Source organism: Homo sapiens, chromosome 10, assembly GCF_000001405.40.
Source record: "Homo sapiens chromosome 10, GRCh38.p14 Primary Assembly".
Classification (NCBI taxonomy): Eukaryota; Metazoa; Chordata; class Mammalia; order Primates; family Hominidae; genus Homo; species Homo sapiens.
In genome coordinates, this window is record NC_000010.11 from 54344264 (window position 1) to 54370896 (window position 26633).

General features: G+C 32.7%; 1 protein-coding gene across 20 annotated transcripts in view; it reads right to left on the reverse strand.

Moving 5' to 3' along the window:
* PCDH15 (protocadherin related 15) overlaps positions 1-26633 on the reverse strand; it is a 1825172-nt gene that overhangs the window by 541493 nt on the left and 1257046 nt on the right. For all 20 annotated transcript variants that reach the window (XM_047425663.1, NM_001354420.2, NM_001354429.2 and 17 more), the window contains 2 exons: positions 24857-25012; positions 2102-2221 (listed from right to left, as the gene is read on the reverse strand). In XM_047425663.1, coding sequence (XP_047281619.1) covers positions 2102-2221; positions 24857-25012 — 276 coding nt within the window. The remainder of the gene's footprint in view (positions 1-2101; positions 2222-24856; positions 25013-26633) is intronic.

Here is a 26633-nt window from a genome sequence, read left to right on the forward strand (position 1 = left end):
TTTTTTCATTTGTAATTTTGAAAATGCATGTGGTTGATTGGTTTATCCACTCTGTAGGGAGTAAGAGTTACATATTATATTGTACAGCAAACCTACACTTCCCTGGAATGGGGAGGCATTGAGACAGAATTATTGCACAGTTAAAAAAGAATTTAAGCCTTATTAACTGTCTACATTTTAAGCAGAAAGATAGTTTAAAGTAATATATTTTTGCTCTCAAACTATATCTAAACATTGAATATTTTTATGCATGCAATAAATATCTCCCTAAAAAACATGGACTAGTCATTTGATACTTGCTGGGAGGTTTTATTTTTACACCTTGGGGAGTAAAGATTAGAAAGTAACCTTCATAAAATTTGAGCTAGAAACATGGCGCACACGTACAATTAATTCTTTAAAAAAATACCTAAAGAGCAAACAAAATAAATGGTTTCAAAATCGAATGTTCAGTCAGCTGTTTCTACATTTAAGAAAAAGCATTTCTGCTGCCCTTTTCTTTGCTGTTTCTTTGCTACTTCCCACTTCATTTCTTATGTAACCCTTCATACTGTCCTTCTCTGTCACATTCTCATCATATCCCCAACTCTTGGTTTTATTGTCTCTGCCTAAAAAAAAGTCCTCTTTTAGAGAAACAAAGCAAAAAAAAAAAAAAAAAAAAAACAAGACTCTAAAATCTGACCTTCACCCTGCTAATAAAATGTATATATATATATTATATATATATACTTATTTTCCAAATTTATTAAAATTTTAACACAGCCAGTACAAGTTTTTTTTGTGAGAACACAATAGAGGAAGAGTATACTGAAACTGGATTTTACAGTTCAGAAGTAGTTTTCTAATATGACCCAAATCACTTCACTTACGAGTTTTCTTTGCTATGCAACAGAGATAATACTACTTTTAACTGATTTGTGAGGATAAAATGAGAAAATGCATCCACAATTTACTTAACATAATGCAATAAATTTGTGATGTAGATCTTACTGTGAGTTCTCAGACTCTACTATCCCAATAGAGTTTTTTGTTTGTTTGTTTTTGCTTGTCTGTCTAAAGTTTATCTACAACATACAATGGTAAAAATAAGGGCAAAATGTTAACTTCACCATTGTTTATATTTCTAATATTTATTAAACATAAAAGAGATGCATTCAATTTGAAAGCTTATTTAAGTAGTGCATTTATAATTGCTTTGGGGGGCCCGTGGGATTTTGAGGAGCTGCCTCAAAGAAAGTGGGGAGATGTGAGGCAAGGCTTCCAGCTCTAGCTTCAGTTAAAAAAAATCTTACTTTGTCTGTTTTTTTGAATAATATGTCATTAGAGGAAATGATTCATGGCCTTAAAAAACAACATAGAAATCTTCTTGTCTATTTGGGAGGCCGAGGCAGGCGGATCACGAGGTCAGGAGATTGAGACCATCCTGGCTAACACAGTGAAACCCCATCTCTACTAAATATACAAAAAAATTGAGCTTCCAGTGAGCCAAGATCACGCCACTGCACTCCAGCCTGGGCAACAGAGCGAGACTCCGTCTCAAAAAAAAAAAAAAAAAAAAAAAAAAAAAAAAAGAAATCATCTTGTCTAATGGAAAAAAAGGAAGAAAAACAACAAAATAAAACAGACTATAGCTAGTGGCTTTGTCTTGTCTTCTTCTCTATCTTTGGTTTAACTGGTGGACGGCTAGAAGTTTAAAGGCTTATCAACTCCAGCAATACTTGGTGTGTGTTCTTGAGGTATAGCAACAATATTGGTATTAATTTATGAGTTGCATAAAATTCATGTTTGACACTTGTTATCTCATCTCCAGTGATTTATTTAGAATGCTTTGGAGACCACAAACATAACAGAAATTTAGTAAATGAGGCATATTATACCTATGAATATATTTTAAACCTTATCTAAAAATACCATCAAAAATTAGCTTCTAGCAATAAAGCATAAATATTACAAATAATTCAATTTTGAGACATTTTTAAATAATAGTATCATTACTAATCTGGTTCTGGAAGTTACTGAATAATACAATAACTATCAGCTGAAAAAATCATTAATTTTATTCCTTTTAAGAAAATTACATTGCAAATAGGTATTTACATACCGGATCATCTGGATTATACTGAATAACATACTCTATCTGTCCATTTGGTCCATCATCTATATCTGTAGCTCCATTGTCTCCTGAAAATCCTGTGAATATTGTGGTACCAACTGGAGTGAGCTGAAAGGAAAAAAGATTTTAAATATCAATTTTCATTTTATCAACTGCACACCAGAAATGTTACAGCATAAAAATCAGCTCTTTATTACCTAAAGGAAGATACCAGTTGGCAGCCCACAACCACAAACTGAAGTGTTTCAAAAGAACAGTTTTGAGCCTTACACAGGAGTTCTTAAAATGTCTGAAATGTCCAACTTTGTGATTCTTGCTATGGGCGAAGAAGCAGAAGACGCTGATTCCGTGTTAAACACATTTGGACCAATTTATAGCCATTAGTATGTTAGCTCCTGTGGAGAAACTGCATCTGTTGTTTCTCCTCAAAACCCTTGATGCAATGTTACCCACAGGCTAGAATTTAAACTGTAAGAAAAAGTTAGTTTAAAATAAACGATTTACGAGTGAGCAATGAAATCCAGGCTGATGATTATATGCAAGTGGCAAGTTTGAGAAAGAGAAATTGGAGACAATGAATAGTCTGTATATTAGAGGAAAATACTGGGAGTTTCTTGAGTCCTTCTGATATTGGTTGAGTAGAACATGATCAGGTCACAGCAGCTGGAGAGATAGCAACATCTTTTCATTTTGGATTAAAACATCAGAACTTAATATGTGTGGCATACAAAACCATGATTTGATGTGTGACCTAAATTGCTAGTCTTAATTCTTACTTATGCCCACAAGAGAATCACCGTTATTTTTTTTTACCTGTAGGTTTTTGCGCAATGTGCTCTTATAACCAGAGTAATTTTTTTAAATTTTCCCCTCCCAGTTTTTAGGTTTTAGCTGAAATACTACTCATTAGTTAAATTTCAACTTAATTAGATATCAGCTTCTCCCATACCACCCCTCAAATAGCATTACACACGCCACATCAGAAGATGATTCCCCTTTTCTTGTGCTTGCATTTTGCACTTTGTTCCTATAATCATTGCATTGTTAGAGGAACTAAATGCACTTCATCAATAAACATAAGCTCTGTGCCTCTACAGACTGGACGCTTTTAATGTTTGCTCAGGGATTTGTTCTCTTAATTTTTGACTAGGATTCCTTGATGGTAAAAATAGCTTAAGAGGCAACAAAAAAGTTGCCTTATTCAGTTTTACTTTCAGAAACTGAAAATTCACATTTTACAAGGATCCCTCAGGTAATGTAAATGAGTGAAGCAAGCATGATGAGACGGTGGAAAATAGATAGAACATGCCCTCTCTGATGCTACTCAGAGAGGGTAGCTGCTACTAGTAGCTGCTACTCAATCCCAGCAAATTCTTGCCATCTTGGAATATGGAGCCCATGCTACCAAGTCTTCTAATATTTTAATTGTATATAAAATATCTTGATGCTAAGATTGACAACAGATTTTTATTATTTATTTATTTATTTTTGAGATGGAGTCTCACTCTGTCACCCAGGCTGGAGTGCAGTGGCACGGTCTCGGCTTACTGCAAGCTCTGCCTCCCGGGTTCACGCCATTCTCCTGCCTCAGCCTCCCAAGTAGCTGGGACCACAGGCGCCCACCACCACGCCCGGCTAATTTTTTGTATTTTTAGTAGAGATGGGGTTTCACCGCGTTAGCAAGGATGGTCTCGATCTCCTGACCTCATGATCTGCCCACCTCAGCCTCCCAAAGTGCTGGGATTACAGGCTTGAGCCACCGCGCCCGGCTGACAACAGATTTTTAAACATTAAAATATAAATAGGTAAAATAAAATATGCCCATTGCCTCAACAACTACACTAGTTTGCAATCTCTGATTTAGGAAAAGAATATAATTATGACTTAAAAATAAACCATAAGTACAAGGAAGTTCAGGATTTATAAGGCCCAGTTTCCTAGCAGGCAGCATTGAAGGCAAACTTTGGAGAGCTGAGAATGAAGTGAGACGAGATCGTTTAAGTAGTACCTATGAGGACATCGAGGGACCACTGGGGATAGATTTAGTAGAAATGTTAGTCAGCTAAATTGCTTCCAAGCTGACGTTCAATATTTTTCTTTTTTAATGGAATTCCTGTTGCAAAAGACATCCTTATCTTTTATAAATATTCACCCATTCTTATGTAGCTGTACTTTGATATTTTTATTACCAACTTATTTTTAAATCAACATATAGAATTTTGTATATTTGTTGTGTACAACATGTTGTTTTAAAATATGTATACCTTGTGTGATGGCTAAACCAAGCTAATTAACATATCTATTATATACTTTTTTGTGGTGAGAGCACTTAAAAAATCTATTTTCAAAAATAGATAGTTATTAACTATAGTTACCATGTTGTACAATAGATTTATTGAATTTATTAGTTCAAGAAATTTAAATTTTGTATCCTTTGACCAACATCTCTCAATCCATATCCCAGCCCCTAGTAACCACTCTTATACTGTCTGCTGCAATTACTTCAACTACTTTAGATTCCACATACAAGTGGGATCATGTAGTATCTGAATATCTGTGCTTGGCTTGTTTCACTTAACATAATGTCTTCCAGGTTTATCCATAATTTTCAAACTGTGAAATTTTATGATTGGATGACATTGATTTGTTTCCATATATCTAATAAACTTAAAAATTTTGTTGCCAAAAAATACTATGTCATGGAGGTAGATATAAAAGCAAAACAAAAAATCAAAATAAAACAAACAAATTTTAAAAAATTAAACAGTATCGTCTGTGGAAATTTTGAGGAAATAAAGGGGGTGCCCATGCCTTTCAATCTGCTTACTGGGGTAATGTATACTATTGGACCAGATTTATTTTGAAGAGCAGGATCCCAAAGCCCTACAACTTAGGGAGATAAAATTGGTCTTGCGGGGAAGATATAGGACATCCAGGGAGAACTTCACGTTTGCCACTCTTAATCAAGATTAAATTTCTGGAATAAATATTTATATGACAGAAATTTGTTGGAATAGATGGTTTGAAAGATTTTAGTCCTTACAATGTAATATTTGTAAAGTTGAAGGCATATTTCTAAATTCAATATGCAAACTATTGAAAAGATCAATGTTTTTCTCTAGCTCTACAATGTTTTTTTGAAATGATGAAAAGGCCACATAAAAGTAGCATGATGTCTTAATATATTACCATCAAGTAATATTTTTCTTCATCACTGACATGGCTTTTTCCATGCAGAAATCACATTTGTAAGTATAATGTTTAATATGTAGTCCTTTAAAATAAACTCTACATTGTTATAATGTTTAATATGTAGTCCTTTAAAATAAACTCTACATTGTATTTCTTTGATTGACTTTCAAAAAATATACTTGCTGATGAAGCCTACCAAAGATTGATAATAGACCACAGGAAAAAAATTGAATATGCATTTGCTTATGGTTTCAATTTTAAGCTTAATCCAAAGAGTAATTCAATTTCAAATGTTCTCATTTCAGAATATGAGCTCATTTTGTGTGCCACAGGTAAATTTCCCTAATCATATTTGTGTGGCCATATATACTTTTATTATTTCTGAAAAATTGCAAGTAGAAATATGATTCTATAATAAATTTCATTAATTTATATCTTTGAATAGAAAATAAAAGAGAAACAATTGTATTAGCCGTAGGAATAGAGAAAACCTTTTTTCTATAATGATATTATATAAAGGTTATGAATCATCCCTAAATATAATTTTAAGGTCTTTTTTAGACAAAATTTTAGATTCCTTGAAAATTAAATGAAAAGCATTAGTGTAATAGCAATAGATTTCAGCATGTTCTTTCATTCATGGCTGTCTTTCTTGACAATTTCAGTAAAAATTTCTCCCTAATTTCACAAATATGGTATTTACTGGCTGACAGGGGAGGATGGGCAGGCTCAGGAATTGTCCCAAGGTGAGGTTTGCTCTCCTCCATAGTTCCACATTTAAGGCAAATGTCTTAGCACAGATCACTCCTGTGTATTTCTACTACTAGATTGTGCAAGCATGTACAAATAGCCATTCATATGTAAAATGCAACACAAAATGGATCAGTCATACATTTTTCTCATGATCTGCTCAAATTTCATGATTTGTTCAAATGGTAGACCTGTTCACATATGAGATAGGGTTGAGGCTAATATGAGAGAAATAGCCGAGAAAAAAGAAGATAAGTTATATGGGCAAACATGGGAGGTCTGAAAAGTCTAAAAAGGCTCTAATGAAGAGGCCTATGCCAGATGCAAAAAAGCAGAAGAAAGTAGAAGCAGAAAAAATGTTTTTTAAAAAATAGTAGATCCTGGCCAGATGCCATGGCTCACACCTGTAATCCCAGCACTTTGGGAGGCTGAGGCAGGAGGATTGCTGCTTCAAGTCTGAGAGTTTAAGAGTTTGAGAGTAGAGATAGATAGATAGATAATAGGCCTGGACACGGTGGCTAACGCCTGTAATCCCAACAATTTGGGAGGCTGAACTAGATGGATTACTTGAGGTCAGGAGTTGGAGTCCAGCCTGGCCAGCATGGTGAAATCCTGTCTCTACTAAAAATACAAAAATTAACCAGGCATGGTGGTGCACACCTGTAGTCCCAGCTACTCAGGAGGCTGAGGCAGGAGAATCCCTTGAACCCAGGAGACTGAGGTTGCAGTGAGCTGAGATCGTGGCACTGCACTCCAGCCTGGGGCGAGAACAAGACTCTGTCTCAATTTAAAAAAAAAAAAAGATAGATAGATAGTAGGTGGTTATATGTATATTATATTCAGATCTTTTTTGTGCTATTATAAAACTGTGAACAAAGAGACCTACCTTATGTTTCATAGATAACTCTTTAATGCTATATCTCAAAATCACAACTACCTTATTATCATTACAAAAACCAAACAAAAGACATGGCAGAAAGCCCACACCTAAATGGGCAGGTAGCATTGAAATGTATGCAAAAACAGAGTGTTAGTAGTGAACTGAAATAAATTTAAAAGGTCCCTCTTGACAGCCTATTTGCATCCAAAAGCTCTTTAAAGACAGACCATAATTTTTTTCTTTTTAAAAAAATATTTCATAGCATCAATTGTAGAAACTGGTTCATCAGTAGAAACTCAATTAATTATTCTTATTTATATATATTATTTATGCAGATGAGACTGAAACTTTTCACAATTTCTTCATATTTTAATATACTAAATCCTCTACAAGGCCTCTATACTGGAATACTGTATCCACATCCTCATCCTCTACCTGCCTGTTCCTGGTTCCTCGGACAACCTCACTTTTAGAGGTGATTTCCACCCATTCATTATGCTGTTCAATTGCAACAGGATGGCCAGAGCTTCTGGCAGCTCACTGTCAAAAAACCCTGCCCACCTTTTTTTGCTTCCATGAAGAAAAATATGTAGATTTCACTGTGAAGTCTAGTTCTTCCCATGCTCTTGCCAGTTTTCCTACAAGAAAATTTTCTACAGACTGTCCATGAATAAACTATAACCATAATAGGACCCAATACAGCAAGCACATGCAAGTAGAATAACCTTATATTCACGAAACCGATGGTATGCTGTTCACTTGGAATAAAATATTGAGAAGGATATGTGGTAGAAAGTCCTCCACAAATCATAATATTGTGTTGTACATATATATTTGGTGATTAGAAAATTCCACTGGCATCAATATCATTGTGTTGGTAGATAACAATGATTTTCTGTTTCATATTTTCTGGAGTCTCATGTGTCATATCAACACAGAAACAAAAAGTTTAGTAAAAAATAAAATACTAAAAAATGATTTCTGAATACCTAAAATAGTTTACACATGTATTCCACACCAATGCCTTCTGATAGATTCTAATGGCTTTAATGATTAAACAGAAACCATATGAGAGTCCTAAGAAGAGAAAACATATATTTTTATGTAATAGACACAACTTAAATAATACCTCTTCAACTGGAAGACAATTGGTACAAAAGGATATTATTCAATTTGGAAACTTGCCCCCAAAAAGAGCCACCCTAGAGGAAAAATTTAAAATACGATTGATGAGATTTTACTTTTTCCCATGCTTCCTCAAGAATCCAAGTTTTTTGTTTTCTCCTACCCAGGAAAAATGGAGAATATCTGAAGGATACTGAATTTTAGATAAGCTGAAACAGAATTAATCACTACAGTTACTTATCATATAATGATGATTTGATGAAAGAAATGCTACCGGGGTGGCAGGTGCTCTATTTCTACTAATAGACATTAACAAAAAAGAAGCATTACCTTTAGTGATGCAAGATTACATATCAGCCTATGTTAAAACACTACACATTTATTTTCCAATTGTTAATATCATTGATCTGATTTATAGTATTAGGCAGCCACTTCATGTCAATTAATCTCCTAGAAAACCCAATCAAGATAAGGCAACATTCTGTACAAATTATCATTACTAGTGAAACTGAAGGAATCTTCCACGTTTAATCAACAATGAGAACTATGATTCATCCTTTAACTTTCTCCCCAGATAAAATAATGTTATAGATTCATTCTTGCAATTAATCCCTGCCTTGGAAATATGCTTTAGAAATGGTAAATTTAGAAATTTTAAACCAAAGATTCTCCACACATGAAATCCAGAGTTGATTTTGTAAACAGGCAGTCATCAGTGGAATATTATTGAAAAATTCAACATTTTCTGACAATTATGAAATTACAATGTCTCTGAATCTACGATTATTTATTGAGAAAATATCGTTTGCCAAATCATTGTTTCTGTGACCATTATATTGGTCTTACTTTAACTAGTAAATATAACATTTGTTTTATTCAACCATTTTTCCAAATCAAACATCCGTTTGAAGTCCATCTTAAAACTTTCCAGAACTGATAAAAAAAATACATATTCTTGAATTCAAATACAGTGCAAGTTATCTTGTAATGATTTATTAACATTAAAGAAAACATAAGAAAAGAGGTATAGCCCTTTTTGTCTAGTTAACATTAACTTATGAAGGTACAATTTATATTAAACAAAATGCAGAGATCTTAAATATTCAGTATGTTGAGTTTTGACAATTTCATGAACCCATGTAATGAACACCTACACAAAAAATATAATATTTTTATCACACTGTAAAATTTCCTAATATCCCTGTACAGACTATCTTGTCAGATGCAGCTGCTTTTGACTTCAATCAAAATTGCTTAGTTTTGCCTGTTCTTGGACTTCAATAGAGTGTGTACCCTTTCCTATCTGGCTTCTTTTGCTCAACTTAATGTTTTTTTTGTTTGTCCTTGGTCCATCTATTTTATTCTGTTTCATTAATGTTTTTCAGATTCCCTTTAACATAATATGGTTTTCATACCTGTGTTAAAAATCTTGATTTCATTAAAAATCTTGATTCCATTTTTTATCACAAAGACTAGATGATTAATATTAAGGGTTACTTTCTCTGAATAAATAATAGACAAATTCATGTAGATAAGTGTATTTAAAATAAAAAAAGAATTATTACTGTTACAGAGAATGATAAATAACTCTATCTTTACTAAAAACTGAGGAGCAATTAAGCTTAAGTTGAATATACATATGAGCTTATTTATTTATTTATCTATTTATTTATTTTTGAGATGACGAGTTTCGCTCTTGTTGGCCAGGCTGGAGTGCAATGGCACAATCTCGGCTCACCGCAACCTCCACCTCCTGGGTTCAAGCAATTCTCCTGCCTCAGCCTCCCAAGTAGCTGGGATTACAGGCATGCGCCACCACGCCTGGCTAATTTTGTGTTTTTAGTAGAGACGTGGTTTCTCCATGTTGGACAGGCTAGTCTCAAACTCCCGACCTCAGGTGATCCGCCTGCCTCGGCCTTCCAAAGTGCTGGGATTACAAGCAAAAGCCACTGTGCCCGGCCCATATGAGCTTAGAAGTTGTTGAATATTTGAATACTTGAATGTTGTAAAACAGCTAAAAAATTGATTCCCACGTACATGCTTAAAGTAAAAAGAAATGTATTAATATGTGCTTCTTTCACTTCCTTTAATCTCCTTATCTCTTTCTCTTTTTTAACTGTTTCCTGATTCTCAGAGAGAATGTGCCCATCCTATGGAAGAGAAAAATGGGGACAAGTAAGAGGAACTAGAGATTAGTCTTACTTCTTTCTTTAACTTTAGATTAAGTGCCAGTACTGCATATTCAAAGAAATTCCATAAATGGGGATGCTCCTGAAGGCCCAGTGATTTTTATTCCTTGAAAAGTTGAAGATATCGAGTTTTGAACTCCATGATCCATGTTTCTAAACCATAATTTATTTCATATTAAAAAATCACTTAATTATACCTAGAAATTGTAAACAAAACACACAAAATATGTAAAAAAGGATATTCAACTCTATAAGGAATGTCAGTGTTATGCTTCTCATGAATACTGTCTGTGCTTTTAGATTTACCAGAATAATTCTGATAAAAACAGATGTTCAAAATATATGTATTAAATGGAAGGAGATGATATAACCACAATGAAATGTAAAAGAATAGCATAAAACTATGAGAAATGGATTTGGAAAGCAAAAACTCAAATTAGATAGATTCAGAGGTAATGTTAATTTCACCACAAAGCTGAAGTCTCAATAATGTTCCACTAATTACTGCCTGTTTATAAGTGTATCTCTACACTTTCATGTGTGGAGAAACTCTTGGTTTTCAAATCTGTCACTATTTCCAAAGCGTATTTCCAAAACAGGAGGATTGCAAAAAAAAAAAAAAAAAAAAAAAAAATGGCTAAAACCTGCACTAAGTATTTTAAAAGTATCACCTCCTTTAATCCTCAATACAAGTTTATATCATTATTTATTTTGTTATCATACTTATTTTATGGTTACAAAATTATAGGCTTAGAAAGCTTCTGCCTGATGTTATTATTCTAATACTTGGTGAATAATCTGAAATGATATAATTTAGATTATGTATCTCATTAAAGATAATTTATTTTGGGCCCCTAAGAAAAATGTTTTGGGTTATTTTACAGAAGGAGAAATAAATTCAACTTAATTATAAAATATCTCAAATAATATATGGCACAGTGTCTTGTTTAAAAGTATTCATTCTTAAACACTGTGCAATATGTTATTTGAGAAATGTTAGAATTCACTATTAATGAACTTCTGAAAAAATGAGAAATAAACAGGAAAACAAAATGTGGCACATAACAGAACCCAAGATTCACAGACAATCTGAAACCATATAATTTAGATTATGTATTAAAGATAAATTATTTTGGGCCCTAAGAAAAATATTTTGGGTTATTTTACAAAAGGAGACATAAAATCAAATTAGCCAGTACCTGCATTTTAGGAAACTCTTCTTCAAATAATTATTACTGTCAGAAAAAAATTGGTTCTCAGCAAGCAAATTATTTAATAAATTTCCAAATTCACCATGATTTCAGTGTGCAAACCTTTACATTAGTAATCAAATCTCTATTGCTAGAACATGCCTAAACCATTGAAAAGCATTCAATAAGCGCTCAAGGAGCAAAGAGAAGAAGAAATATAGCCAACCACAGTAATTTACACTTTCCTCAATTATATTTCAAAAAATAATATTTCAACAATCACTAATAAAAATGGTGGGTAAAAGTTCAATGAGAAACAGGATAGTTACAGTCTTAACCTAGTTCCCCACAATATAGCTTTAATACTTATTAAGTATTAAGTACAAAATTACTGGTAAATACAGAAGGGAAAGCTGGAAGACACTGTTTTGTCAAAGTGATAAAAGCCATCACTACCAATAATGAAACAGATACATTGTGTGTCTTTTGTGTTACATGCTATGATAAAAACAGTATCATTTTTGAAACATTCATGCACAAAGTCTACGAATCATGAGAAAATATCAGGTGAATTAAAATTTAGAGACATTTTATACACTCCTCTGGTCCTGAAAAATATTAAGGTCATGAAAGTCAAGGAAGTATTGTGGAAATGCTAAAATTGAGACTAAAAAAATTGAAAACTAAACTTGGTTTTAGGAAATACACAATAAAGTAGTAAGGGCTGAAGAAGTTTCATATTTTCAACTTAATTTTCATTAGTATAAAATAGTTATGTATTTATATATGACATATAGTATACATTATATATAATTACATGGTATATATACACTTAATGTATGACATACTTATATATACATATAATATATGCTGTATATTTATCATACACACAAAAATCTACCTCTATGTGACTATTTATCAATTAGTAAGAGGAAAGAAATATTGTCTGACCAGTGAGTCTCAATACTGTCAAGGTCATCAAAAACAAAAAAAAAGCAAAAACTATCACAGTTTAGAGGAGACTGAAGAAACATGGTAAATAAAAGTAATTGTTATTCTGTATGGGGACCTGGAATCAAACAGGACATTAGGTAAAAAGCTTATCCACCATGATCAAGTGGGATTCATCCCCGGGATGCAAGGCTGGTTCAATATACACAAATCAATAAATGTAATCCCCCATATAAACAGAACCAAAGACAAACACCACATGATTATCTCAATAGATGCAGAAAAGGCCTTTGACAAAATTCAACAACCCTTCATGCTAAAAAATCTCAATAAATTAGGTATTGATGGGACTTATCTCAAAATAATAAGAGCTATCAATGACAAACCCACAGCCAATATCATACTGAATGGGCAAAAACTGGAAGCATTCCCTTTGAAAATGGGCACAAGACAGGGATGCCCTCTCTCACCACTCCTATTCAACATAGTGTTGGAAGTTCTGGCCAGGGCAGTTAGGCAGGAGAAGGAAATAAAGGGTATTCAATTAGGAAAAGAGGAAGTCAAATTGTCCCTGTTTGCAGATGATGACATGACTGTATATCTGAAAACCCCACTGTCTCAGCCCAAAATCTCCTTAAGCTGATAAGCAAATTCAGCAAAGTCTCAGGATACAAAATCAATGTACAAAAATCACAAGCATTCTTATACACCAATAACAGACAAATAGAGAGCCAAATCATGAGTGATCTCCCATTCACAACTGCTTCAAAGAGAATAAAATACCTAGGAATCCAACTTACAAGGGATGTGAAGGACCTCTTCAAGGAGAACTACAAACCACTGCTCAATGAAATAAAAGAGGATACAAACAAATGGAAGAACATTCCATGCTCATGGGTAGGAAGAATCAATATCGTGAAAATGGCCATACTGCCCAAGGTAATTTATAGATTCAATGCCATCCCCATCAAGCTATGAATGACTTTCTTCACAGAATTGGAAAAAACTACTTTAAAGTTCATATGACACCAAAAAAGAGCCTGCATCGCCAAGTCAATCCTAAGCCAAAACCACAAAGCTGGAGGCATCACGCTACCTGACTTCAAAGTATACTACAAGGCTACAGTAACCAAAACAGCATGGTACTGGTACCAAAACAGAGATATAGATCAATGGAACAGAACAGAGCCCTCAGAAATAACACCACATATCTACAACTATCTGATCTTTGACAAACCTGACAAAAACAAGAAATGGGGAAAGGATTCCCTATTTAATAAATGGTGCTGGGAAAACTGGCTAGCCATATGGAGAAAGCTGAAACTGGATCCCTTCCTTACACCTTATACAAAAATTAATTCAAGATGGATTAAAGACTTAAACATTAGACCTTAAACGATAAAAAACCCTAGAAGAAAACCTAGGCATTACCATTCAGGACATAGGCGTGGGCAAGGACTTCATGTCTAAAACACCAAAAGCAATGGCAACAAAAGCTAAAATTGACAAATGGGATCTAATTAAACTAAAGAGCTTCTGCACAGCAAAAGAAACTACCATCAGAGTGAACAGGCAACCTACAAAATGGGAGAAAGTTTTCGCAACCTACTCATCTGACAAAGGGCTAATATCCAGAATCTACAATGAACTCAAACAAATTTACAAGAAAAAAACAACCCCATCAAAAAGTGGGCAAAGGACATGAACAGACACTTCTCAAAAGAAGACATTTATGCAGCCAAAAAACACATGAAAAAATGCTCACCATCACTGGCTATCAGAGAAATGCAACTCAAAACCACAATGAGATACCATCTCACACAAGTTAGAATGGCAATCATTAAAAGTCAGGGAACAACAAATGCTGGAGAGGATGTGGAGAAATAGGAACACTTTTACACTGTTGGTGGGACTGTAAACTAGTTCAACCATTGTGGAAGTCAGTGTGGCGATTCCTCAGGGATCTAGAACTAGAAATACCATTTGACCCAGCCATCCCATTACTGGGTATATACCCAAAGGACTAGAAATCATGCTGCTGTAAAGACACATGCACATGTATGTTTACTGCAGCACTATTCACAATAGCAAAGACTTGGAACCAACCCAAATGTCCAACAGTGATAGACTGGATTAAGAAAATGTGGCACATATACACCATGGAATACTATGCAGCCATAAAAAATGATGAGTTCATGTCCTTTGTAGGGACATGGATGAAACTGGAAATCATCATTCTCAGTAAACTATTGCAAGAACAAAAAACCAAACACCGCATATTCTCATTCATAGGTGGGAATTGAACAATGAGAACACATGGACACAGGAAGGGGAACATCACACTCTGGGGACTGTTGTGGGGTGGGGGGAGGGGGAGGGATAGCATTAGGAGATATACCTAATGCTAAATGACGAGTTAATGGGTGCAGCACACCAGCATGGCACATGTGTACATATGTAACTAACCTGCACATTGTGCACATGTACCCTAAAACTTAAAGTATAATAAAAACAAAAAACAAAACACAGGGAATTAAAAATGAATAAATTTGGTTCTCTATATATGTACATAGTGCTCTAACTTTTTAAAGCTTAAATAAACCTTTAAAAAACTAAAAAAAAACAAAAACTAAAACCATCTGAATAAGCTATGAATTTGAATTAATAATGTACCAATGTTGGTTTATTAGTTGTTACAAAAAATGTACTATATTAATTTAAGAAGTTAACAATCAGGGAACTGTATATGGGACATATGAGAACTGTACACTTCTATTAAAATATCACTTAGGTCTAAATTGTTCTCATATTATTTAAATAAATAATGTAAAATATAGTTGTAAATAGACCATTTCCATTACCATTTTCATTATAACAAAGCTCAAGACTTGAATATATCATTTAATATAAGAAAAATAATGTTTAAATGTAATATAGCTTTACTTCTATTACATTTAATTTTTATAAATATAATGCACATTGAACCAATTATTTGTCAACAAATTTAATAAGATATACTTATAGAATGAAACAGAGTAAACAGAGAGGAAGAGATAGATTTTCATGTTTTTCTGTGCTTTCATTTGGCTGAAGTTTGGTTTTTTGTGTGTCTGCTAATTGATAAAATCATTAAAAATGTTTTTAGTCATTCCTTTAAAATTTCAAAGAAAAGCTAAAATATTTAAAAACTCATTGTTTAAAATTAAGAGCTAATTGATGCAGTAGGTATTGATGAAAGATATGATTATGTCATGTTAGGAGAAACAAGCATAATAATATTTAAAATAAATTAATATGCAATTACTAATTAAATCAGCATGTAATACCAGGTAAGAAGAAATACTGAAACTGGTCTAATCATCCCACAGAACTGATGTTTATGTTTTCGTCTGAATAAACCTAGAAACTGATGCTCCCAGTTCTGAAACTTGCAAAAGTTACATTTGCCCTGTCTGAGTTCCTTTCCCAGGAAACCAACCATTAGACCTCCCAGGTAGTATCAAGGAACTGGAGTTTGCCAGATCGCCACATCAGGAAAATGAGATGCCAGACCGCTTACCTGTCTTGATTGTCTAACCAACCACCTGCTTCCTATTGACCTTCATTTCCCCTCCCTAATTCCCATTTTCCCACATATGATTACTTTTCTTCCCTGCTATATAAACCGGCAATTTTAGTCAGCCAAAGAAATGAATTTGAGGCTAATCTCCCATCTTTTTGGCTGAAGCACCTGATTAAATCCTTCTTTTCTGGCAATGTTTGTTGCCTCAGTGATTGGCTTTCTGTGTGGTGAGCGGCAGGACCTAGACCAAAGCCCTGGCATTTTGGTAAAAATTACCTCTATGGTGAGCTAACTATTATGCATGTAGTTGGGCAGGGTGTTCATCTTCATGGGTCCCATTTCATTACCTTTTAGAGTTTTTTCATAAATTTGTGGGATTCTATAGAAAAGTTATTAAAGGTTATATATTCAGTCAATTATAACTTTTTATAACCATATAATCACATCTGCTTTTTCAGCCATTGAATTTTGATCCTACATCATCATCATCATCCTATCATTCTATTCTTCATCCTATAGCTATTATTTTGTAAGTAAGGTCTTTTACAGTGTCCCCTCATGATCAATTAAAGGGCATTTTCTGGTTGCTACTCTTACAAAGTTTGAATAGAATAAAAATCAGAACTTGTGTTGATTTGAATTGACAAATTTATCATAGGGAAAGTGCCCATCTGTGAATAGAATGAAGTTTAAAAGTATGTTTATTAGTCTTGCTGTTATATGGGATTTAGCATTCTTCATTTTGTTTGGTTATACCACTATGTTAACCATTTATTTTTCTTATTTCAAAAATATAACTAGAAATATAATTAGAATTGACATGACATACAGTTATTCCATAAAAGAAGGTGGTAAAAACAAAAATACAGTTGTCCCTTGCCATAGCCAGATTATTAGTTCTAGGATTCATGTATATACCAAAATCTGCACATACTCAGGTCCCTAATTGACCCTGTAAAACCCACAGAGGTTTCACATCCATGAATATTGTATTTCCATCTATGCTTAGTTGAAAAACTGCATGTACAAGTGGACCCTCACAGTTAAAATTCGTGTTGTCCAAGGGTCAACTGTAAAGTTTAATAAAATATTTCCTCAAAAAGAAATGCTTCATGGTGAAAATAGGTGTATTTTACTTTTAGAATAATATTTTAGGAATCATGATTGGATGAAAGCAGAAACTGCTGGATATAATTAGAAAGCTCATTGTCATCATCGTTCCTACCATTCAATGAGTGTTATCTATTCATTGCATGCACCCAGCACCATAGGTCTCATGTTACATTCTCTGTATCCTTTAACCTTTAATAACTACCCTAAAAGTATTATAGTTTTTTTTAATTGAGAAAACTAAGTCCATTAGAAATTAATTAATTTTCCATTATTATACAGGTAGGAAGTGGTCATCCTAAAACTGAAACCTATGCTGTGTGACTCAATAGATTATTCCCTTTTCTCATAACACTGAACCTTGAACATGATTATTTTACTAAACTGAATCAAGTGCAACTTTTCTGAAATTAGTATTAATATTTATTCATATTAATGGTCTTACACTCTACACTTTCAGATTTTAAGACTCGGGAAATAAATATGAATTTTCAAAATCGCATGGAATTTTCTCTATGTACTCAAGCCCTATCAGTCTCTTGCCTAATGTATGTATACAATATGGTGAGCAAGTGCTCAGTTTTGGAGTGAGAATGTTTTGGTTACTGACTTAGATTGGCTACTTATCAGCAGTGAGATCTTGAGCAAATTCATTAATGCTTCCCTATTTCTACACTTTCTCATCTGTAAAATGAAAACAATGAACACACAAAGTTTGAGTCTGTGGGCAGCTATCTATAAGTACTAAGTAAGTTATTTCATGGAAAACACTTAGAATTTGCTTGGCACACAATGCAATTAATAAATGGTAACTCAATGGTAATTATTATAATTCACTTATTATTGTAAAATACCTTTATTTCATTCAAAGTCAGGAGGTATGATATCAGAAATGTGGTAAACATATCTATGCAGTATTCTTATTATGAACAAATTTGGATAAGAACAAATTTAAAATTGGTCTAGTATGAAATTAGTTCCTAATGAGTATGCCTAATGACAAAAGGAGTAAGAAAAATAAACATTAAAATTATTATAAATCTAAAGTTTGAAGACATTTAACCTGGTAAGCAGGACATAATTTTCTATATACTTGTTATGTCAATATTTACCAAAAAACTTGATTCTTTCAGAAACTCAAGGTTATTTAAACTGCTAATACTCACCTTCCTAAATTGTGAATGGCATTTTAAATGTAAATTTATGAAGCATCCTTTAAAATTTCATGTTATTAATACTGAAAGAAACAGAACTTGATTAAACACAAATTCATTAAGCTGACTGTGAAGCACTTGGGACCCTTTGCGTTGATCCTTATAGAGCCGTGCGTCTAGAAAAACCTTTCAACGAAAAGAAAAGGTACATTTGGTCAAAGGGGAATCATATTAATGTTGCTTAATCAATGAGTTTAGTATTTCCGGGACATGAAAAGTAGGGTAAAAAAATCTCAAGTGGCATGACAGTCATATAATGAATAAATACATAATTTCTCTCTAATGTTTTATAAATAGACCGTAATTCATATAGTTCATATTTATCAAGTTTTAAAAAGTGTTTTTTGTTGTTCTTGTCATTATTCTTGTTTTAATCTATGTAATTTATTATAATAATCTGGAAAGGTTATACTCGTTTCTTTAAAAAATTTACTCTATATGAGCTTCTTCATAAATTTAACTCAAAGCAAACTCTTGCTTTCTATCTCAGGAACATCAGCGTAGAAATATATATGTTATAGGATATTTTTCTGTATGATAACTGTGCCATTCCTAATTTAATGATAAACCTACTTATAGTACTTCTGTAATGTGCCAGGCACTGTTCTACTCAATGAAAAACAAAGTGCCAGCTTTAATGCAGATTCAATTTTAAAGGGGTAGATATCATAACAAAAAGCAAATACATATGCAGTATTGTTGCAGATAAGTGGTATAAAGATAACCAGCTTCAGATAGTCTGTTACAAGAGTCATAAAATATGCAGGTCATTTATCATACATGGAAAAGTTGTGGGGCTTTTTTCTTTCTATTTTAAAATTTATTATGTGTCTTCATTGAACCTTGTGAGGCAAAAATTCTAATACTACCATTTTCGTTTTCAGGTGAGAAATCTGAAGTACAGAACAAATTAAATGAAATGTTTTTAAGAAAGACAAATGAAACTAACAAATGGTAATCCAGCACCAGCATCACTGTATATTTGTATTGTCAGCAGATTTAGCTACTATGGAAAATCTTTGAAGAATCTTTCTCAACATGATTTTTGATATACACATGCTCTAATTTATTGTGGGTATATTCAACAGAGTAGAATTGCTGAGTCATAGGGTGTCTGCCTGTTCAGTTTTTGTTGACACTACAAAATAACTAATGTAATTGTGCCAATTTACTTATCTACCAACAATGTATGAAAGTTGTGATTATCCATATCTCTACCAAAACATGAGAGTATATTTTCTTTCAATTCAAAGTGTAATTGAACTTAAAATAAATAAATATAATTAAAACTCCATTTTGGTAGGTATTATAATCCATGGATGGATTACTTTTAAAAATTTCATTTTTTATTTGTTGCTGATGTATAAAATTTATTTCTTTTAAAAAATATTGGACGGTCACAGTGGCTCATGCCTGTAATCTCAGCACTTTGGGAGGCTGAGGCAGGCGGATCACCTGAGGTCAGGAGTTCGAGACCAGCCTGACCAACATGGAGAAAACCCATCTCTACTAAAAATACAAAATTAGCTGGGTGTGGTGGCGCATGCCTGTAATTCCAGCTACTCGGGAGGCTGAGGCAGGAGAATCGCTTGAACCCTGGAGGCAGAGGTTGTGCTGAGCCAAGATCGTGCCATTGCACTCCAGCCTGGGCAAAAAAGAGCAAAACTCTGAAAAAAAAAAAAAAAATTGACCTTGTCTGCAGTAAACTTGCTGAACTCACTTTTTAACTGTAATTTTTTTTTTCTGTAAATACTGTTGGGTAGTTCTATATATAATAATGCCATTTGTAAGTATTTAATTTAATGCCATTTTCCAACTATAAGGAGCATTTCTAGTTTGTATTTATTGATTTTAAGCTCAATTGTTTGATGATTAGAAAACACATTCTGTATAATTTTAGCCATGTGGGGGACATGTTGATACATCCGTGAAAACCCAGCATTTGGTAAATTATTTTATATGTTCCATCCATGTGCCTGAAAAGAATAAACTTCATAGTTGTTGGATACATCATTTTAAAATACATCAGGTCAATTTCGCTGATTTCAATGTTCAAATCTTATGTTTCCTTGCTTTTTTTTCTTTACTTATTTTGACAGTTACTGAGATAACTTTTGCATTAGTTTTCTATTGCTGTCATAAAAATTATCATAAATTTTGTGGCTTAAATTAATATAATTTACTCTCACACAGTTTGGTCAGTCAGAAGTCAGAGATAGCTCTCACCAAGCTAAAATCAAAATGTCTGTAGCACTGCATTTCTGTAGACTCTGAAAATGAATTCACTTCCAAGCTCATTCAGATTATTGGCTGTATTTATTTATTTTTATGTTGGTAGCTGTCGACTGGGGTTCCTTCAAGAGTATTCTTGCATTTTCAGGCTATATTATAGCTCCACTGGTGTTCAAAACCAGCAATAGTGGCTAAGTCCTTCTAAGTCTTAGATTGTCTTTGATCTCCCCTTATGCCTCATCTTATCCAGTTCCTCTTCCCTTGCCTCTCTCTGACTCTAGCCAGAGAAAATTCTTTCCTTTTAAGGGCTCACACTGAGATTGGGCCTACCAGAGTAATCCAGGATAATCTCCCTATTAACTTCCATAACCTTAATCGCATCTGCAAAGCTATTTTTGCCAGGTAAGTGTACAGATATCTTTGGGAGGCTTTAATTCAAATTATATGACCTCCCAAACATCAATTTTCTAATTTCTAAAACAGGGATATTCCTTCCTTGTAAAGCTACTGTGAGGACTAAATAAGATAATGTGCATAAAAAGAGCTTACCACAGTGCTCATAATATAGATATAGCTCCATAAACAATACATTTTAATTTATTTTAATATACTATAGGTAACCCATGCTTTAGAGGTTTTTATAGTTCCTTCCTGTCTGCCTCAGGATGGTAAAAATAAATAAATATTGACTGAAAAATTTTCTCTCAATGAAAAGATCATTAAAAACCAGACATATATAAGCTCTATATTAACTTGAGATAAATTCTTCACATGACCAAGAAAACATTATGTCTGCCTTGACTTGCTCTTGTTTACTTACATCAAAATAAATTTTGGGGGGTGAGATGAACCTCAAAAACCTGCCATCACTGTCGAGAAAGATTTGTCTCCAAAACTTGCATAAGAATGATCAGCAACTGTGTAATTTTTTCTTGAAACCAGGCAAACTATTTACTTAATGATACAATTGTTTAAAGCTAATTGAGTCTTCACTTAAAGAGAGAAAACTACTTCAATGTCTTATGTCTTGCTCATGAGAAAGACATTTGAAACCTTGTTATAACCCGTGTTCAACATGTAGATAGAGGAATTAATAATGTTTTGGTGAATTCTTGACAAACTAATAGAAGAACATGTTTACGAAGAGCGTAAGAGGGTAGCATTTAATGCATTTATAAAAGTGCTGATTGTGATTATGATATAATACCATAAATGTAAATCATATTTATTTGTAAAATAAGGTACATGAAAGTAGTTATAATTTAGAATACTAGAATGTTTATTGATAAGTAGTGAGGGGATGATTGACCTAAGGACTTGAGTTTTATTCCCAACTTCGTGGTCAATTTTGTAACCATCAATTTATACTACTGCTCCAGTTCTCAGTTTTCTCATGGTGAATAAAAAGAGTGACTAATCAGGACTTTAATTTTGGAAGCTTCTTTTATAAATCTGTGATAATGACTTTATTATACCTGTCTTTTGTATTTTAATGAAGTGTGAAATATTTTGACATTAACAATCTATTAAACTGTGAACGATTTTTTTGGAAAAACATTTAGATCTTTCTTAATTGCATAAACTTCATGTCTTATACTAAAAGGACAAATAGTATGAAAAATACCTTGCAATCTTGCACAGAATAAAACTCATTTCATTTAATTTTATTACAAACACAGCATTGTAGATGGGCAAGATAGGGATATCTATTTATACACATACACATATATAGTATGTATGTATCTAATTTTAATGTATCTTCCTAATACATAATTCATAATAGATAAAATTCATGTCAACTAAACCAATAGATAATTCATAATTTATAATTCATTGGACTAAACTAAGTACTAGTACTATGGAAGAACTATTCAAATGAAAAATGAGAATAATAGCTAAATTTCTATTTTTTTTTTGATGCTATTTCAAGCTTTAAATGCACTGTTTTTTTTTTCAAGAAAGTAAATATAAAGAGTATGGGCAAAATCAAAGGTGAAAAATATGACCATCAAGTACACACATTTGATATTATCAAACCATAGAAGATATGACCATAGTGTCAATGGGATAGGATGACCTCAGTTATCTAAAAGGAAATGCATTGTGAGAAACTTACCAGTTCAACAATGTATTGACAGCTTTGCACAGTAATATAGCTTCTCAAAATAATGTTTAAGATCAAATCTTTACCTTTCCTATAAATTTTATCACTCTGATGTTTAGGAGTTTAGGGTTTGAAGAAATTGAAGATCAATACATGTAAATATTGATTATTTCATAAAAATAAATCAAGTAAAAGAGATGAACAAAATTTTGAGACTTGCATGGTAGGGAGGATCTTATTCTAGGCAAAATGAACAGTGTGAGCAAAGGCTAAGAAAGGGAGATATTTATGAGATGTGAGAGAGTTAATCTGAACAGGATAAGGCATTATCAGGGAGAATTTGAGAATGTTCAGAATACATTGACAAATGGTCAGATTATGGAAAAGCTTGAAGGTCTGCCAGAAGAAGTGACCTTTTGACACCCGACAATAATGAGAAATTGCAAAACTTTTGAAAAGTAGAGTTGCATGATTAAAATGATATTTGAGAAGTTACTGTTTAACAAGACACTGAAAAGATTAGAGAGGGAAGTGGAAACAGTCAAATCACATAGGATGCTTTGAACTTCAAATTGAACATTATAAATTTCTGAAAGAAGGATGAACTATGAAGAGGGATCCAGGGGCAGTTAGTGACATGGATGAGGCTGGAAACCGTCATTCTCAGCAAACTAACAAGAACAGAAAACCAAACACCACATGTCCTCACTCATAAGTGGGAGTTGAACAATGAGAACACCTGGACACAGGGAGGAAAACATCACACACCGGGGCCTGTTGGGGGAGTGAGGGGGTAGGAGAGGGATAGCATTAGGAGAAATACCTAATGTAGATGATGGGTTGATGGGTGCAGCAAACCACCATGGCACGTGTATACCTATGTAACAAACCTGCACATTCTGCACATGTATCCCAGAACTAACATATATATATATGTGTATATATGTGTGTATATATATACATATATATATATAGATTCTGTAAGTAGATTTGTTGCCTAAGATAATTCACCTATCACTTTATACCAAAAATAAAGTTAGCACTCAACCGAACAAAGCAAATGTAACTCAAAGGGTGTATTTCAAAATAAGATCATTTATATATAATTAAAACTAGTTACTTGGAAATTAATTAGTATCTGTCATTACAGTAGAAACTCATTAAACAAAAGTGACTCAAAGAGGTGAAGCATTTATCGACCAGTAATTCGTCTTGTTAAATTTAAATAGGAGTTTGTATTTTGTTTTTAAGTTATATAATTTAGAAAGTCTCAGATTACAAGGAACATAATTTCTTCAAACTTTCATGAACACAAGAATGTTGAAATAACTAAAAAATATTTTTAGTAACTTCAAAAAGAATCTAGAGGTTAAAGGCCCAAATGATCTGTTTAATTCACAAATTACAGTTATTCTCCTGTAAAGCAGGCATGCAAATTTTTAAGATTAAAAAAAAATCTTGAAATGAAAAGATGGTCTGGTAAAATATGTACTATCACATTAATGTCATTCATTTTTTCATGTGTCTAACATACACATAATAGGTCACATTAGAGGTACTCTAGAAATATTTTGTAGCTTAATTAACTAAAAATAATTAATACAGTAACCACGGTTTAAAAAAAAATAAAAGTGGTTCTTCACTTATGCACTTTAGCCAAAAGAGAAAATAAAACAAAGCAAAACAACAAACAAGCATGTCCTTAAAAAGTTACAATACTACTTTTTAAATATAATTTTTCTAATTTGATCAGCATTTTTCTATAAGAATTCGGTTGTGATTTGTAGTTAATTTTTGGATATTTCAGAACTTGATTTTAAAATCCAGAAAATAACTTTACATTTATAGAACCGCAGACATTTTCTTCCAGTATTTAATTAGTATGACCACCTCAGAAATACAAAGGCAATGTATTTGTATTAGATAAATGCCTTAGGATAATAATAATAACTCGTGTTATGCCTAAGTAAGCATGTAGATGGATCTAGGCAATAAATTTTCAAAGATGATGAAAAATAAAATATCTATTATTATAAATACATTATTTTTCCCATAGTTAAATGAATTCCTAAAATAACATCGGAAGTCACATACTTCTTCTGAGTACTATTTTTTTAATGTTTTCTTGATATTTCTAAACAGTTAAGCTCATAATTTTAAAGGAATCATTTATAAACATTTATTGTATATAGTTAGATACATATATCAACAGAAAGGACAGAGAGAGAGTAAATAGAAACTGACCTCATTCACTGTGGCATAGTAGCTTTCATGCTTGAAAGTGGGTGAGTTGTCATTCCTGTCTCTCACCACTATTCGCACTTCATGGTAGATAATAGTGCCCACTTTTTTGTTGATGCACTGGACCTGCACCACAATGGAGTGTATGTTCATCGGTGGCTGCAATGTAGAAATTGCATCTTTTAAAATACTAATTAAAAACAAAGCTTCTCATCACTGTCAAAGCACTCGTTCATTCAGTACATTTTTCTATTCTTGTTTATTTTTAAATTATAATAATCTCAAAGAAAATGATCATTTTAAGGACAAGAGAAGACAATCATAATTAATTTATTGTTTAATTTTGTATCTCAGCGTGTGGAATTCAGGTAGCATTATGCTCACAGTTAGTGGATGGCTAATGAGCGCACCCACAAAATTAATGCTTAGAATTGATGGGATTAAACGAAGTTTGCCCCTCCAAAGATTAAAGAAGCAATAATATAAACTTTTAATTTGAAGAAAGTGTTAATTAATAAATTCCTGGAGAAGAGAGATTGTTTAACTTTTATGTTTATTTATATTTTTGCTGGAATATTATATGTTCATTGCTGATCAAATTAAAAATACTGATTACCAAAAGAGAAAATCCAAAAGCCAGCCAACTAAACTTACTCATTCTACACATTTAAATGCTTATTTTGCTAATCTTTTTCACTCTCTAAATATGTACATATTATAGACACACAGACACACAGTGAATATCAGCCCATGTTTATAAATATAGATTTACTATAGCATTTTTTGTATAATACTATGAAGTTATGTTATGTGACAGCAATATTATACTTCATTGTAAGCCTATAGCATAATGTATCCAAGTAATAATTTAAAATGAACTACTCCAGGCTATTATATTTTGTCATTATAAAAAATACTTCAATACATAGTATACATAAGCATATGCTTACTTATCTAATAATTTTTATAATAAATTCCTTGAACGGGAAAGGTCAAAGATATACTTCCTCAAGTGCCATGGCTAACAGTTTGCAGAGCTGGAATGCACACCTACAAATATTTGACTCTAGAGTCAGAGTATTGACCACTACAAAGTATTTCTTTGTGATTTTTAACCCCTTTTGAGCTTATGCAACTTTATCTCTAAATATGTCATTTTTGCAGTGTCCTATCCTGACCCCTCCATCTTAAAAACCTTGTCTCCAACCTGACATCTCCTTTCAAATTTCTTCCAATTTATTTTTCTTTATTGCATTTCTCACCGAAAATTTGGCTCGTTGTATATTTTATGTACTTGTTTTGGTTTGTCTGCCTTCACTAGACTGGAAGCTCAATACAACCTGTGTGTTATTTTAGTCATGATAGTATCCCTCTTTCCAGTAACCAGCCCTATGCCTAAGACAGATGATCTGGAGTCAAACTGCATGGCTTCCAGTTCCATAACCTACTAACTGTATGATCCAGGAAAAAGTACAAAGTATCTCTATGCTTCGTTTATTCATCTATAAAATTAAGGCTAATAGTTACACCAATGAGAATTGTAAATACTGCATGTGATTAGACTATACTAGGCATATGTTAAACACCTAAGGGATTACATACATATCCTATTTTATTTATTAAAAAATAAATATCCAAAATAGTGAAAAAATAAAATCTATAATGCACGACACATTTGTAAATGAGAAAAATGCTACAGAAACTATATCTAAGCTGAAGGAAATCATTATTTAGTTTCAAGATATTTTTATGGCCAACAAAGAAAAAGAAAGTTGACTTG